Here is a 12,514-nt window from a genome sequence, read left to right as displayed (position 1 = left end):
TAAATATTTGTTGAGTGATTGAATGGGTTTTACACATAATAAATGGTTAATAAGTACTTAACTCACAATCAGATGTTTTGGAGGTGGGTGAGTAATGAGTACACCAACCTGGCTGGAGCAAAGGGTTTCTTTTCAGGAATAATGAGAAATAGGGTGGAAAAGTAGTTTGAGGTGAGATTATGAAGAAGCTGGAATCCCATTTTGTAAGAGAAGGAAGCAACCACAAATTTCTGAATATAGGAAGGGCAAGAAATAAGTGGGGTTTTAGGAAGTTAACTTGCAGCAGTGGGTAGCATTGATGGGTTTTTGTTATACAGAAAACAAGAGACAGAGGCAGAAAATAGTATATGTGCAAGGGCCTAAACACTGATGGCAACCATGGGAATTGATGAGTGAGAGAGAATAGGAAGGAGGGATGTAAAAGGCTTTGAGTGGTTGGATGTGGTGGAGTTGGGGAAGCAAAGATGGCTTTTGAGATTACCTTGTAGAATTCTGTGATAGTTAACGGAAATAGGATCAGTGCGTCATCTGGTTTTGATGGAGGCGATATGATGCATTGGGTGTTAGATGTGTAGAGCTTGAGTAGCATTGGTATCCCAGAGAAAAGGGAGGACTGAAGATCCTGATAGACAACATCCACATAGAGTTCAAAGTTGTAAGAACAGACGAATCCTTTGGAGGGCAAAGGGGGAAAATCGTTTTGAAGTAGGACCTAAATTTTGGGGAAGGAATAGATTTAGGACATAAAGGGAAGGCAAGGAGCTACCTCAGGAAAAAGGGTTTAGAGAAGAAGGAAAAAATCAAAATCACAAAGTCTAGGGCAGAGACTTTTGGGAATGTTTCATATATATGTGTTTGTGTTTGTAGAACTGCATAGAAAAAAGTCTGAAAAGATATACATCAGCATGTTAATTGTGTTGTCCCAAGGTGATGGGATCACCAGGACCTTTTATTTTCTTCTTTTCATATTTTGATAGTATCTGATTTTCCTGTAATGAATGAATTACTTACATAAACTTGAAAAATTACATTAACAAGGCCAGGCACGGTGGCTCACGCCTGTAATCCCAACACTTTGGGAAGCCGAGGCGGGCGGATCACGAGGTCAGGAGATCAAGACCATCCTGGCCAACATGGTGAAACCCTGTCTCTACTAAAAATACAAAAATTAGCCGGGCATGGCAGCACGTGCTTGTGGTCCCAGCTACTCGGGAGGCTGAGGCAGGAGAATTGCTTGAACCTGGGAGTCGGAGGTTGTAGTGAGCCGAGATTGTGCCACTGTGCTCCAGCCTGGGTGACAGAGCGAGACTCTGCATCAAAAAAACAAAAAAACAAAAAAACAAAAAAAAAAAAGAAAAGAAAAATTACATTAACAATATTTGAGGGAAGAATGTTACAGTTATAATAGGATGAAGACTTTAAGAAGAAAGTTTTAGGAACTCAATTATTCCCCTATAGACTCATTTAATTTTCTCAAAGAAAAGTGAAACTACATTAAGTCAAAAAATCAATCAATAAATAGAAACTACCATCCCAGTCAGCTTCTGTCATTCACTCAATCAACAAATATTGAATGCCACCACGTGCCAGATGCTGTTCTAGGCACTGGGGAAAGAACAGTGAATAAAATAAATTCCTTCTCTTCATGGAATTTAAGTTCCAGTGACACTCCAGTAGCACTTATATCAGAGTGAGTCATCAAGAGAAAGTGAAATCATAAATGTGAAACCATTTTGAAAAGTTGGTGTGCAAGGGGTTTATTAACAGCTGATTGGTATTGACAGATCCAGGTAAATAACATGATTATTCATGAATATTCCACTTCCTTATTTTTCATCGATATTAGGAAATATTTGTGGGGTTTTAGCTATAAATACACTCATATATATGCAGATTTTATGCATACTTTACACATTCTTTGTTTTAGTACCTCGGTGATTGCATTTCCATTTCATATTGAGATTAAATGTCTTAGGGCATTTCCAGAGCATCTCTGAGCTTGAGAAGGGTTGAGTGTATTGCTAACCTTAAACTTAGCAAACTGGGGAGCTGACGATGGGAGGGAAGAAAGGGGAAAGAAGAGGCTCAGGAGATTTAGAGTGTTCCTGGAACATATCCACGGAGAGAGGGTAGGACTGTACTCTCCTGCTTCAGAAAGAGGAAATGATATTAGAGAGAGGATCTAGTCATGATTGTTAACATTCCATGAGTCTGTAACTGCATTGGAAGGCGTGTATGGTGTGCAACAAGAAACACTTGTCTGGGAATGAGAAAACCTAAGGTGGAATCCCAGTTGCCCCTAAGATCCATCTATGTCAGTAAAAAGAGATGTTTGGACTGGGCTAGAGTTGCCTAAGCTTTTCGAATATGAAGTCTCCTTTTAACAACAATAACAAAATTCAGCCCCTCCCTCAATGTAATAGTAGTTATATATAATAACTATAAATTTAGTGGTGTTTCTAGAGGCATTTATATTTTTATTCATGGAAATTTCATGCATATGAAAAGGGATACATTTATGGGCAAGCCATCAGTGTTGGGGGAGTATTTGGTGTCTTTGGAGTGATGGCCCCTTTCACAGAGTCCACGGGCTTCCTGGTGGCCTTTTTAGAGAACCCCTGAACTGGGTCTTTCCATCTTGGATCTCTCCTACTTTATAACTCTAATTTAAGATAAAATATCAGGACATAATCTATTGCAATCTGCTAACTGAAGACCCTTCATAGAGGAAGTTAACACTTATTCAGTCTGCATTTCAAAAAGAATTTCTAAGCTATGTCAGATATTTCCTAAATGAATGTGAATAAAGACGTATTTGTTCATTTTTTCCCTAATCCTGTCCAACACCTTTATTTAAAATGGAACTTGTTTGCCATGACTTTGATGTTCCTGAGTGATTATTTAGATGTTATTTTGGGGTTGCTATCAAGTGCTTGTTAATTCTTCTTTCCCACACTTGACATCTCTGTTGAATATCATTTTTCATAGGGAACCAATGAACATGACTGCAGGTCCCTTTAATCATGGAATCATAGAAACTAGAGACAATAGATGGAAGATGTTGCTTTTTCCTCATCTAGAAAATGGGAATAATAATGTTAACTATTTTCACTCAGTCATCACGCATAGGAAATAAGATTCCTCATCTAGAAAATCAGAATAATAACATTAACCTTCCTCACCCAGTTGTCATGAATAAGAAATATGATTACCAAGCTAATTGCAAATATAAATAGCTGTAAATTAAATGCTAAGTAATAAAAGTAGGAATTATCTGGCTAATAAATGGGGAGGCTTTTGAAATTTGTTTTTTTCTTCATCGATGTCTGCTGGCAGTAGTCATTACCACTATAATAGTAATAACAAAACCAGCCAAAACAACAGTTGCAACTACCTTTGATTGGGCATTTTTGTATGCCTGGAGGTTTACTTACATCATTTCATTGAATCTGCAGAACAGCCACAAAAGGTAAGTGATTGGCCCAAGGTCACACAGTTAATAAATAGGGGAGATGGAATTTGATCCAGGTCTAGGTGACACCAGTGTCCATGTATTTCCCCTTGTGCTCCACTGCCTCTCAAAGCTAGAACTCTCTCAGGTTCCACTAATGCTAGCTGTTGCTTGACTCTTGTCCATTCTCTTTGGAGGAGTCAGTTGAGTTGCTCACTTGGAGGTCTTGAAGAAAGAACTCTCAGTAAGTGGTGTCTTGATCATTGGTTCTTGGGCTGAGCCACACATTAGAATCACCTGGAGGTTCTATTAGCTTCTACTAGAATCTAAGCACCATTAGAAATTAAGCACCACGAAGAGACATATTGTTTATTTTAATCATTGCTACAGTATTGAATGATACTGGTGATTGGGCCCTATCCCAGACCGATTAAATGGGAATCTCCAGAGGGTGGGGCCCATGCATATACATTTTAAAAATATATGATGATTAATATGCAGCCAAGGTTGCAAACCGCTGCTCCAAAAGATTTCTCCATGGATTAGGTCAGAAAGAGAATGATGAAGCCTTCCCCCAGGAATGGTTTGTTGATGGATGAAGCCAACAAGGCCTAGGAAATCAAAGCTCCTGAGTTCTAACCCTGGTTCTTCCAGTTCCCACTTGTGTGACCTTTTACAAATTACTTGACCTTTCTGAGCCCATTTCCTCACTGACTAATATTTTTAATTTCATAGAATTGCTAGGAAATGACATTTAAAAAATCCATGTCAGATTCCTTCTGCTGTGGCTAACACACAGTAAATGGTGGTGTTATGACCAAGAAAATGAAGGAAAAGGAAAATGTAGTATTTTAGCAGTTTTGCAGTATTTGTCTGAAAACCTTTATTTAGCTTTACACTGGAATCCAGACTGAATTGAATTAAAAGGGAGCCTTTAAAAACAGTATCAGTGAGCTTTTGAGGTGATTATGCCTCCTGGTGATGTATCACTTTAATTTTAGCCTTTAGCATTTGCGCAAAATTGTGAAGTTGTGTTGTTTCACTCTTGCTTCCCACATAAATAGAAAGCTGGAGCCATAGTCAAAATGTGAGTGTTCAAAGCTGGCATCCTGTCAAAGGCTGTTTTAGATTCAGCCTTCCAGTCATTTGTTCAAAGGCCTTTGACACTGAAGACCAAAAGATACTGTTGAAGATGCTACTGCTGGCAGTTTAATTGGTATTTTTCAGGGACTAGACACACAATTTCTATATGGGCAGAATGAAACTGGAAGTAGGGTAATTATTCAGTGAGTTCAGATAGTAAAGAGAAAAGGAAAAGATCGAGCAAAAGAAACTTTGGCTGGCTGGGTGTGGTGGCTCACGCCTGTAATCTCAACACTTTGGGAGGCTGAGGCAGGTGGATCGGGAGTTCAAAACCAGCCTGGACAAGATGGTGAAACCCCGACTTTATTAAAAATACAAAACTTAGCTGGGCACAGTGGTGGGTGCCTGTAATCCCAGCTACTTGGGAGGCTGAGGCAGGAGAATCGCTTGAACCCGGGAGGCAGAGGTTGTAGTGAGCTGAGATTGCACCCGGGCGACAGAGCAAGACTCCATCTCAAAACAAAAACAAAAACAAAAACAAACTCTTTAAGCAAACTCTTTTGCCATTTTTAAATAGATAATTTTTTAACTTTATAGAAGTAGCCACAGCTTAAAGCTATTTTTGTAACATAACTACAGGGCTAATAAAGCAAAAGGATACCTATAAAATACCTTTAAAAGGCCAGGTTTTCTAATTTGTACTTCTTTTATTAATATAAAAATAGCAAAATAAACAATATGATTGTACTTATTGTGAGTGAAGAAAATGTTAAAGGTAGTTTCCACATAGGGGGCAGCAAAGAAGAGAGAGGAAGAATCCTAGTTAAGAGGACCAGTTAGATGTTTTATCAAGTTATGGCAAAAAAATGTTTTCTCTGTGACTCTTGTAAATATCGATTGGGTTTGCTTCCTGGCCCCTGAGACTTTTGTGCCTGTTTTGTTGCTGCACTTGAATGAGTATTAATAAATTGTTTGACTTTTGTAATTAAACTTGAGAACCTGATTTAAGGGGATTTTAACTTCCTTGAAAACGTACTTTAAGTTAATCTGCTTAAGAGGAATTATCTGTTTGTTATTAGCAAAATCAAAAGACTGCCTCTGCCTTATAACTGATGATTTCTACAGGCCTGGTTATGAATCTTATGGTAATATTAAACCTTCAAAAGTTATTTGGGGAATTTAAAAAATTAAGTTGTCAACTTAGGCCTTGACTTTACGTTAATTATTGGCAAAGTGTAGAATTTTTTTTTGTCATTATGGTGTTGTTTTCTCTTTTTCTGCCATAATTTTGTCTTTTAGAGTTGGCAGCTATTTTGTCCTAAGAAGTTTTAGAACTACAGTTCTTTGAGTATTAAAAAAAAAAGAAAAAACAGTCACAAATGAAGAATGAGAACTGTTTTTCAAAGAACTGTATTCTGGAGGAGTAAATTCTCAGTATTTTTTTTAGCAAATAAAATCATTTTAGGCAAATTTACCTGTATTGATTTAACTGCATCTCTTTTGTATATGACAAACATCTATAAATTATTATAATTGAAGCTGTATGTACTTCCACAATTATTTAAGGTGATGTATGTGAATGAATCTCTAATATGTTAGATTAAATTTCTATACCAGATGTTAAAAAATAGATTGAATTGGGTTGAATGCTGACAAGGGATAATGTATGATTAATCCTGTTTTTAATTAAATAATGTAATTATTATATTTTGTGATTGTGCATTCAACACCTTAGGTAGAGATTACAGAAGTATAATTACTGATGATCAGCATCTGTTTCTCAGAAAAACGTTTCCATTAATACTTGAAGGAGAAAAGTTTAGTAAAGATCAAAGACTGAAATATGATTTCTAAAATGGAAATGCTTTTATTATGTTATTAATGATGTTTGTCTTTGGCCTGAGCTACAATTTTAACTGCTACAGTTGGGGGATACGAAAGAATAGGAAAGTGCGGGAGTATCTAACACACAGTTGTACTCAGAATGGAATAAAGAGTTGTGTGTATTAGGAGAAGGTCGTATGAAATTACTTTCACTTGAAATAAATAATTGAGGCAAAAGTGAGGTTTGGATTAGAAGTATCTGGGTGTCTGCCCTCATCACCATTTGTGTGTGTGTGTGCCTAGAGATACGGCCAAGGGAAGCAGCGTGAGTAACTCAGGCTTCACTCTATTCCACTGCCTTTACCGGAGCTACCAAAGTGCCCTGAGGGAGCTGCACTTGTTAAACAGCTACTGTTAGATTGTTGTGAAAATTGGAGTTGATCAATGAACAACTGATTGATTTAAAACATCACTGAGCAATCCTAGGTAGTCATCCTTCCCAAAGGTCACAACCAAATATTTGTACTCTATCTAGTCTTACAAACTTTCGGGAAACTTGAAAATGGAGAAGACAGTGAAACACACAAGGCAGGAATTCGGTCTGAATTAAGCTTAGATCTCTGTACCTCCTAAAGGATTTTCGGACTCTAACATGTTAAAAGCAGAGTTCCCATTTGAGGGAACTAGTGCCAAATTTCTTTTTGATGTAAAATTATTCTCAGCCAACACTTGTTGAGATTCCTATTAACCATGGACCTGACCTGAACTTTGGTTGCCTAATCATAAATGCTTTCTTTTCTTTATAGCTAAGCTGACAGGAAAAATAGAGTTTCTGTGCTGATTTTGAGAATACAGAATCAAATACAAAATCAAAGGCTATGTTTTTTTGGGGTAAGAACAAAGGACTATAACTTTTATTTTAAAGAGTGATATTTGAAATAAATAAAATGTATATTTATCAATGTGTAAGCTTTAGAATGAATGTTTTCCTGTGTATCATCATTTCTTACTTTACTGAAAATACAGCCATTTTAAATTCTAAACCAAGAAATTAATATTTGCAAGAAAAACATGATCTCTTCAATTAGTAATTTTTTGTATACTTCTTATAAACCGAATGTTGGAAAATTAGTTGTCTTTTTCAGAGATAATTGTAAGTCTGCAAAACAGGATATGCAGTCAAAATCAACTCAAAACAGGAACTCTTTTAAATTTATATTTGCAAGAGACTTTATCTCCAAATATTATTTATTATATGAGAACAAAATAAAAATCACCATGTGTTTTGTTTTTAACTAAAAAGACCTGGCTTTCCCGTCCGTATGTATGCTGTCTTGAGTTCAACCCCAATTCACTAGGGGCATGCCTTGGGCCTTTCACATTCTTTCAAGCCCCAATACTAAAGAAAAAAAAAAAGGCACTAACCTTCTTGGCACAAAACTAGACCCTGGCTGGTATATCAAACATTGCACACACGTCTGTACCCTCTGGGGTTAAGGCTCAGCTGCCACATCAGGATCAGTCCATATGATTACTATGTTTACGATCATGCAGTTACTATGTTTATGATCATATGATTGCTATGTTTTTGTTTATGATAGACTCACCTTGCTTTCAAATTGAGACTTTAAGATTATACACGTCATGCCATCCTGTCTCATCTATTTTTGACAAAATGTGTAGGTGAGATTTTAGGTTTTTTTTTTTTTTTTTTTTTTTTTTACGGTAGGCATCTACGAAGTCCTTTGGAATCAGTCACACTTGTGTTGATTACTAAAGTGCATCTCTTTCAATGGGGTATTTTTAAATAAGCTGTAACTTTGGATGGATATTACTGGAGGAATGGAGCTGTGATCCCTGTCAAACTGAGAAAAACAAGGGTATGGGAAGACTCCTTTGGCTACTTAGTGCTTTGTGACTTTTGAGGAGACTTTGCAGCACGTAATTCTAAGAAAATTGTAGGAAACAGCAAAGAAGAGCCGGGGTCTTCGTGGGGGAGGGGAGCGAAGTCTGTGCTCATGCAGCTTCAGTAATGTCTGACTTGATCCTAAACACTGCGGTTGAAATGTTCCTTTAGAATGATCTTGTGCATTCCACAAAGGCATAAAATAGTAAAATCTGTTTCTTTCCTTAGCCAGTAGCTCTATATTAATTCAGGAGCTATAAAACAAAGTTCAGATTGATGTCGTTTTCCAACTGTGAAAGTATATTCACCTTATGTATTGAATACAAACATTGCAACAGGCCCTGTTACCCGCTAGCCTGACTGTTAGCTTTTTATTAAAGTATAAAGGATCTTTACACTTCTGTGTGTTAACTTTTAGTGGATGAAATACATATTGGTGACAAATGTAAACACACGGATTTACTAAGTACATAAGGTGCTCAGGTTGAAATGTGTGTGGCTCTCACTACATAAATAAGTTGACAAACCTGAATTATGAAGAATTTAGCAGTTACTGCTCAGAACAATCACATATTAGCCCGGGTTAGAATTCTCATCTCTCTGTGCATTTAACCGGCTGTGCCTTGACACAGAAATAAGGCAACATTTTTAAAAATGCAGTCTTTTATTTTTTTAAAGCAAGCCCCAGCATCTTTACAAACCCTCTTTTGTATGAAGTTAAGACAAACTTAGCTAAAGGTTTAATTGTACCTTGTGAAGTCAGATGGTTTAAAATGTGCTATGGAGATCCATGTGATAAGATGTAAAGCATAATTTTGTTGCCTCTGAACTTTGGAATTCTAGGCAGACCTCTTGCATCAAGTACAAATAAACCAAAAAGGGGCATGCAGAAGTGAAACCAGTCCTGTGGCTGTTGTCAGATTTGACATTCATTCCACTGATGATGTGTGTGTTTGGCTTGTTTTTCTCCACTTCAAATGTTCTGTTTTCCCCCCCTCCAGAAATATGGTGAAACGGTGTTAAAACTGTCCACACACACTCTCACTCTGGGCATTCATGCAGAGGACACTCAGCCTGAGGACCAGCAGCAGGCCAGCAACCCCTGCCTCCCTCCCACACAGAATGCCACCTCCCGGGCCCTCCCATCCCACCCTGCCTTGCTGTGTTGCTCTGTACGAATGGGGTTTCTGTTTCCAGCCTCGATAGTCCAAGCTCTTCTCTTCTTGGATGCAGGGGCTTAATTCAACCCACTTTCCTGTGCCTAGACCACCGATCAAATAGGCAAAGCTACTAGAAATTGTCGTGTGGAGTAATTTACCGCTTACTATCTATTTCCCATGAGAGTATATAAATCTTGTTTTTTTTTAAGGGACTCAGAGCCAGGCAGAACTTTTGGGGTTATTAGTTTCATATTTTATTTAGTTCTATATTATCAAATTAAACATCTAATTATATGTGTTACAGGCAAATTAAAAAGAAAAACCCTGTCAGTATGAGCAAATAGAAACACATTTAAATTCCTGTTTAAAAGGCTATCAACATAATTCTTCATATTCGGGAATCAGTTTATTTAATGGGCTTAGATTTAAAGAATTTTTTTTTTTTGCATTCTTTTTACTAAATAGGTAGATAAAAATACCTTTTATTATAGGTAGGAAAATACCTTTTATTATATACAGTATATTTTGGTATAGTATGTGTTATTGCCCTAGCTGGATATCATGTATATTCTGATAGTATTAAAGTATTTTAAAATCTAAAATCCCCAGTCTCTAAATTCTAAGGAAAAAAAATGCTGCACATATGTTCAGCTATGGAAGTTGTACCATGACCTTTCAGAGGGTTTAGCTGCACAAAGTTCTACGGCTTTTTCAGATTTATTGCCATAGATGGTCTTTTTTATAGCTCAGTTCTCTGTGCTCTTTGTCAGTAAGTAGGCAGATGTTTTTGCCTTTTTATAAAAGTGTGATAATAGGCATGTCTACTGCCTTTACTTCATCAGCTAGAAGAACCATATCCATGGCTTATCCTGATGACAGGTGATTCACCTGAGCTTTGTTCCCAGATTGGTAGCGGGCAGCATGGCGTGTCGTAAGTGGCCCTTCCCACCAACTGAATTGAAAAAGGTTTCTTTCTGATTTAGATATAAACTTACACTTTCACCTGTCGGAGGAAAATGAAACCATCACTAAGAGTTTTTTATTTTGTAGGCAGGTTCATGTCTGTGACAAAGTGATTTATCCCCAGGTAAATTACTCCTTCACATTGGTGTGGCAATGACTATTTAATAAAGCTATTTATGAAAACTCCTTAAGTGTGTGGTCCCCGTTCCCACAGTGTGTCACTGCCGCCGCCAAGTGACAGGTCTGAAAAATCAGCAAATCCTAAACAATTAAGGCATCAATTCCTCCTTCCCAAACCAAGGCCCCTGCTACCTCCTAGATAAAGATAGTGTATACTTCTGTAAGGAGAAACGAAGACCCTTCCCCAAATCACACTGGACCCTATATGGGTGTCCCTCCAAATTCATGGCCTCTCAGAGAAGAATGGCATGGGTGATGAAGAAAAGAATTTCTTTCTCTGAACGAATAGATGTAATTTTAGGGTTGAAGGAGTTTGTGTGTGTGTGTGTGTGTGTGTGTGTGTGTGTGTTCGGTTCGTTTACCACAATTCTACACTAAAATCATACCATATAGCAGGGAAGAAATTCTGTGTCTTAAAAATCCACCAGTCACACCAAAAATTTGTAACTCCAGGAACACACAAATACTTGGGGATGTATGCAAAGACTGTTCTCTTCTGCAACCTCATTCTTGAACGGGGCTAAGAGCTTTTCAATTGCTGTGACATTTTCAGCCAGGGAAGTAGTAGTTGTTGCAGAGCAATGTTTTACAGGCAATTACTTTATATGATCAATGGAGCAATTCCCCTTCCAGAAAGGAACCAAAGCGATCTAGTTAAATCATTAAAGAGAGAAAGAGAGTGGGAGAAAGGGTTCATCTCATTAGCAGGTGCCAGTGCTGCAGGCTCCATGGCGGCACACAATGTCACTGGCCCTTTAAGACAATGACTATGCTCCCTCCACCACTGCCACCCCCTCCCCTGTAGCTGTTGACAGGTCTAAACCTCCCTAGCAGCCCATTGTGGCCACAGTAGGAGGCACCTGCAGAAAATGTGCCAAAGCCAGGCAGGGAGCAAGAGCTTTTCAATAAGCTCCGCAGCTGGAGAGGAGAGGCAACACTAAACAACCAGCCTGGGCCCAGGCATGTGATGGGAAAAGGGGTCAAAAACAGACACCTCCTATGGGCTTTCTGAGCACTGTTCGGTTCAATTTGCTGACATCTTCTAGCTGGCTTTTCTCTATTTGCTTAATATGCTGAGGTATTTAGCTTAAAAGCACTAAATGCCCCATCATGATGAGCCGTTTTCTCTTTCCCCATTTACTGTTATTAAGGACATTTTCCAGCATTTTCACTCTCTTTCTGCCCCAAACTAAGATTGTTTTCTTTCGCTCCTCTCTCGTGACTACTCACAGGCATTCACCACCACACACCGCCGGCTTGATTTTACTCATCTTTAATTCAGGGATGAGTAAAGCTCTCCAAATTTAGGATCTGTGCTACCTTTATAAAGCACACACTCCTGACTGCTTTCGGCACAAGTGTGGAAGCTGAATTCTTGCATTCCAACTAGTAAACATGTATTGTGCATCTACTGTGTACCCACCAGTGTTCGTGGGGCTTCTAGAAATCCACAGGTGAACAAGATATGCTTTTCCCCTTGTACTGTTTAGGAGCCAGCAGAGGGAATGAATAGCTAATGTAACTGTGGGTTCTAGGAATTTGTTTTACACCCAGTCGCTTGTCTTTGTAATATCTACAGCCCTTTTAAGAATAAGCAGGAGTGGAGGCAGAGGACGAGGAGTACCCTGGGATGGGCTGGTGGTACATTGGCTCTGTCAAATGTGCCTTGGGGAACCAGAGGACAGAGTCTCGGCGTCATCTCTCCAAGGTAAATGGAGAAAGAACCGGGCCTCGTTCCTCAGTTTTGGCAGCTCTTGTTTCTCCACGACTCCTTACGTGCACACAACGCTTCCTGGTTTTTGTAATTTTCCATCTATTTTTTCTTTCTTGATGTAGTAAGGCATTATCTCTGTCTTGCAGATGAAAACATCTGAGACTCAGGGCTAAGCACCTTGCCCAAGGCCACACAACAAGTAGGTGGTAAGTGTACAGGCCTGCCAGGGACCC

The 12,514-nt window shown here is 38.5% G+C and overlaps 1 protein-coding gene across 3 annotated transcripts in view, besides 4 other annotated features; it reads left to right on the top strand.

Moving 5' to 3' along the window:
* HSPA12A (heat shock protein family A (Hsp70) member 12A) overlaps positions 1 to 12,514 on the top strand; it is a 179,556-nt gene that overhangs the window by 3,063 nt on the left and 163,979 nt on the right. The window contains exon 2 of one of the 3 annotated variants that reach the window (XM_011539579.3): positions 12,428 to 12,487. The exons of the other annotated variants lie outside the window; for them this stretch is intronic. The gene's annotated coding sequence lies outside the window, so the exon portion shown is untranslated. The remainder of the gene's footprint in view (positions 1 to 12,427; positions 12,488 to 12,514) is intronic. 3 annotated transcript variants of the gene reach the window in all.
* Positions 9,223 to 9,322: an enhancer, noted in NCBI's record as "active region_4094". NCBI's record gives its function as "activates an Ori minimal core promoter by ATAC-STARR-seq in GM12878 lymphoblastoid cells {active_cell/tissue: GM12878}" and the evidence as "EXISTENCE:reporter gene assay evidence [ECO:0000049][PMID:35858748]".
* Positions 11,114 to 11,749: an enhancer, noted in NCBI's record as "OCT4-NANOG-H3K27ac hESC enhancer chr10:118595447-118596082 (GRCh37/hg19 assembly coordinates)". NCBI's record gives its function as "activates a minimal SCP1, AML or CMV promoter by ChIP-STARR-seq in naive and primed H9 embryonic stem cells {active_cell/tissue: H9 hESC(naive and primed)}" and the evidence as "EXISTENCE:reporter gene assay evidence [ECO:0000049][PMID:30033119]".
* Positions 11,273 to 11,567: an enhancer, noted in NCBI's record as "tiled region #690; K562 Activating non-DNase unmatched - State 21:Repr". NCBI's record gives its function as "activates a minimal TATA promoter and a strong SV40 promoter by Sharpr-MPRA in K562 cells {active_cell/tissue: K562}" and the evidence as "EXISTENCE:reporter gene assay evidence [ECO:0000049][PMID:27701403]".
* Positions 11,273 to 11,567: a silencer, noted in NCBI's record as "tiled region #690; HepG2 Repressive non-DNase unmatched - State 10:DNaseD". NCBI's record gives its function as "represses a minimal TATA promoter and a strong SV40 promoter by Sharpr-MPRA in HepG2 cells {active_cell/tissue: HepG2}" and the evidence as "EXISTENCE:reporter gene assay evidence [ECO:0000049][PMID:27701403]".

The sequence above is a fragment of the Homo sapiens genome, chromosome 10 (assembly GCF_000001405.40).
Source record: "Homo sapiens chromosome 10, GRCh38.p14 Primary Assembly".
NCBI classification, from domain to species: domain Eukaryota; kingdom Metazoa; phylum Chordata; class Mammalia; order Primates; family Hominidae; genus Homo; species Homo sapiens.
The sequence above is the reverse complement of the archived record's forward strand: the minus strand, read 5'-3'. Positions and strand labels throughout refer to the sequence as shown.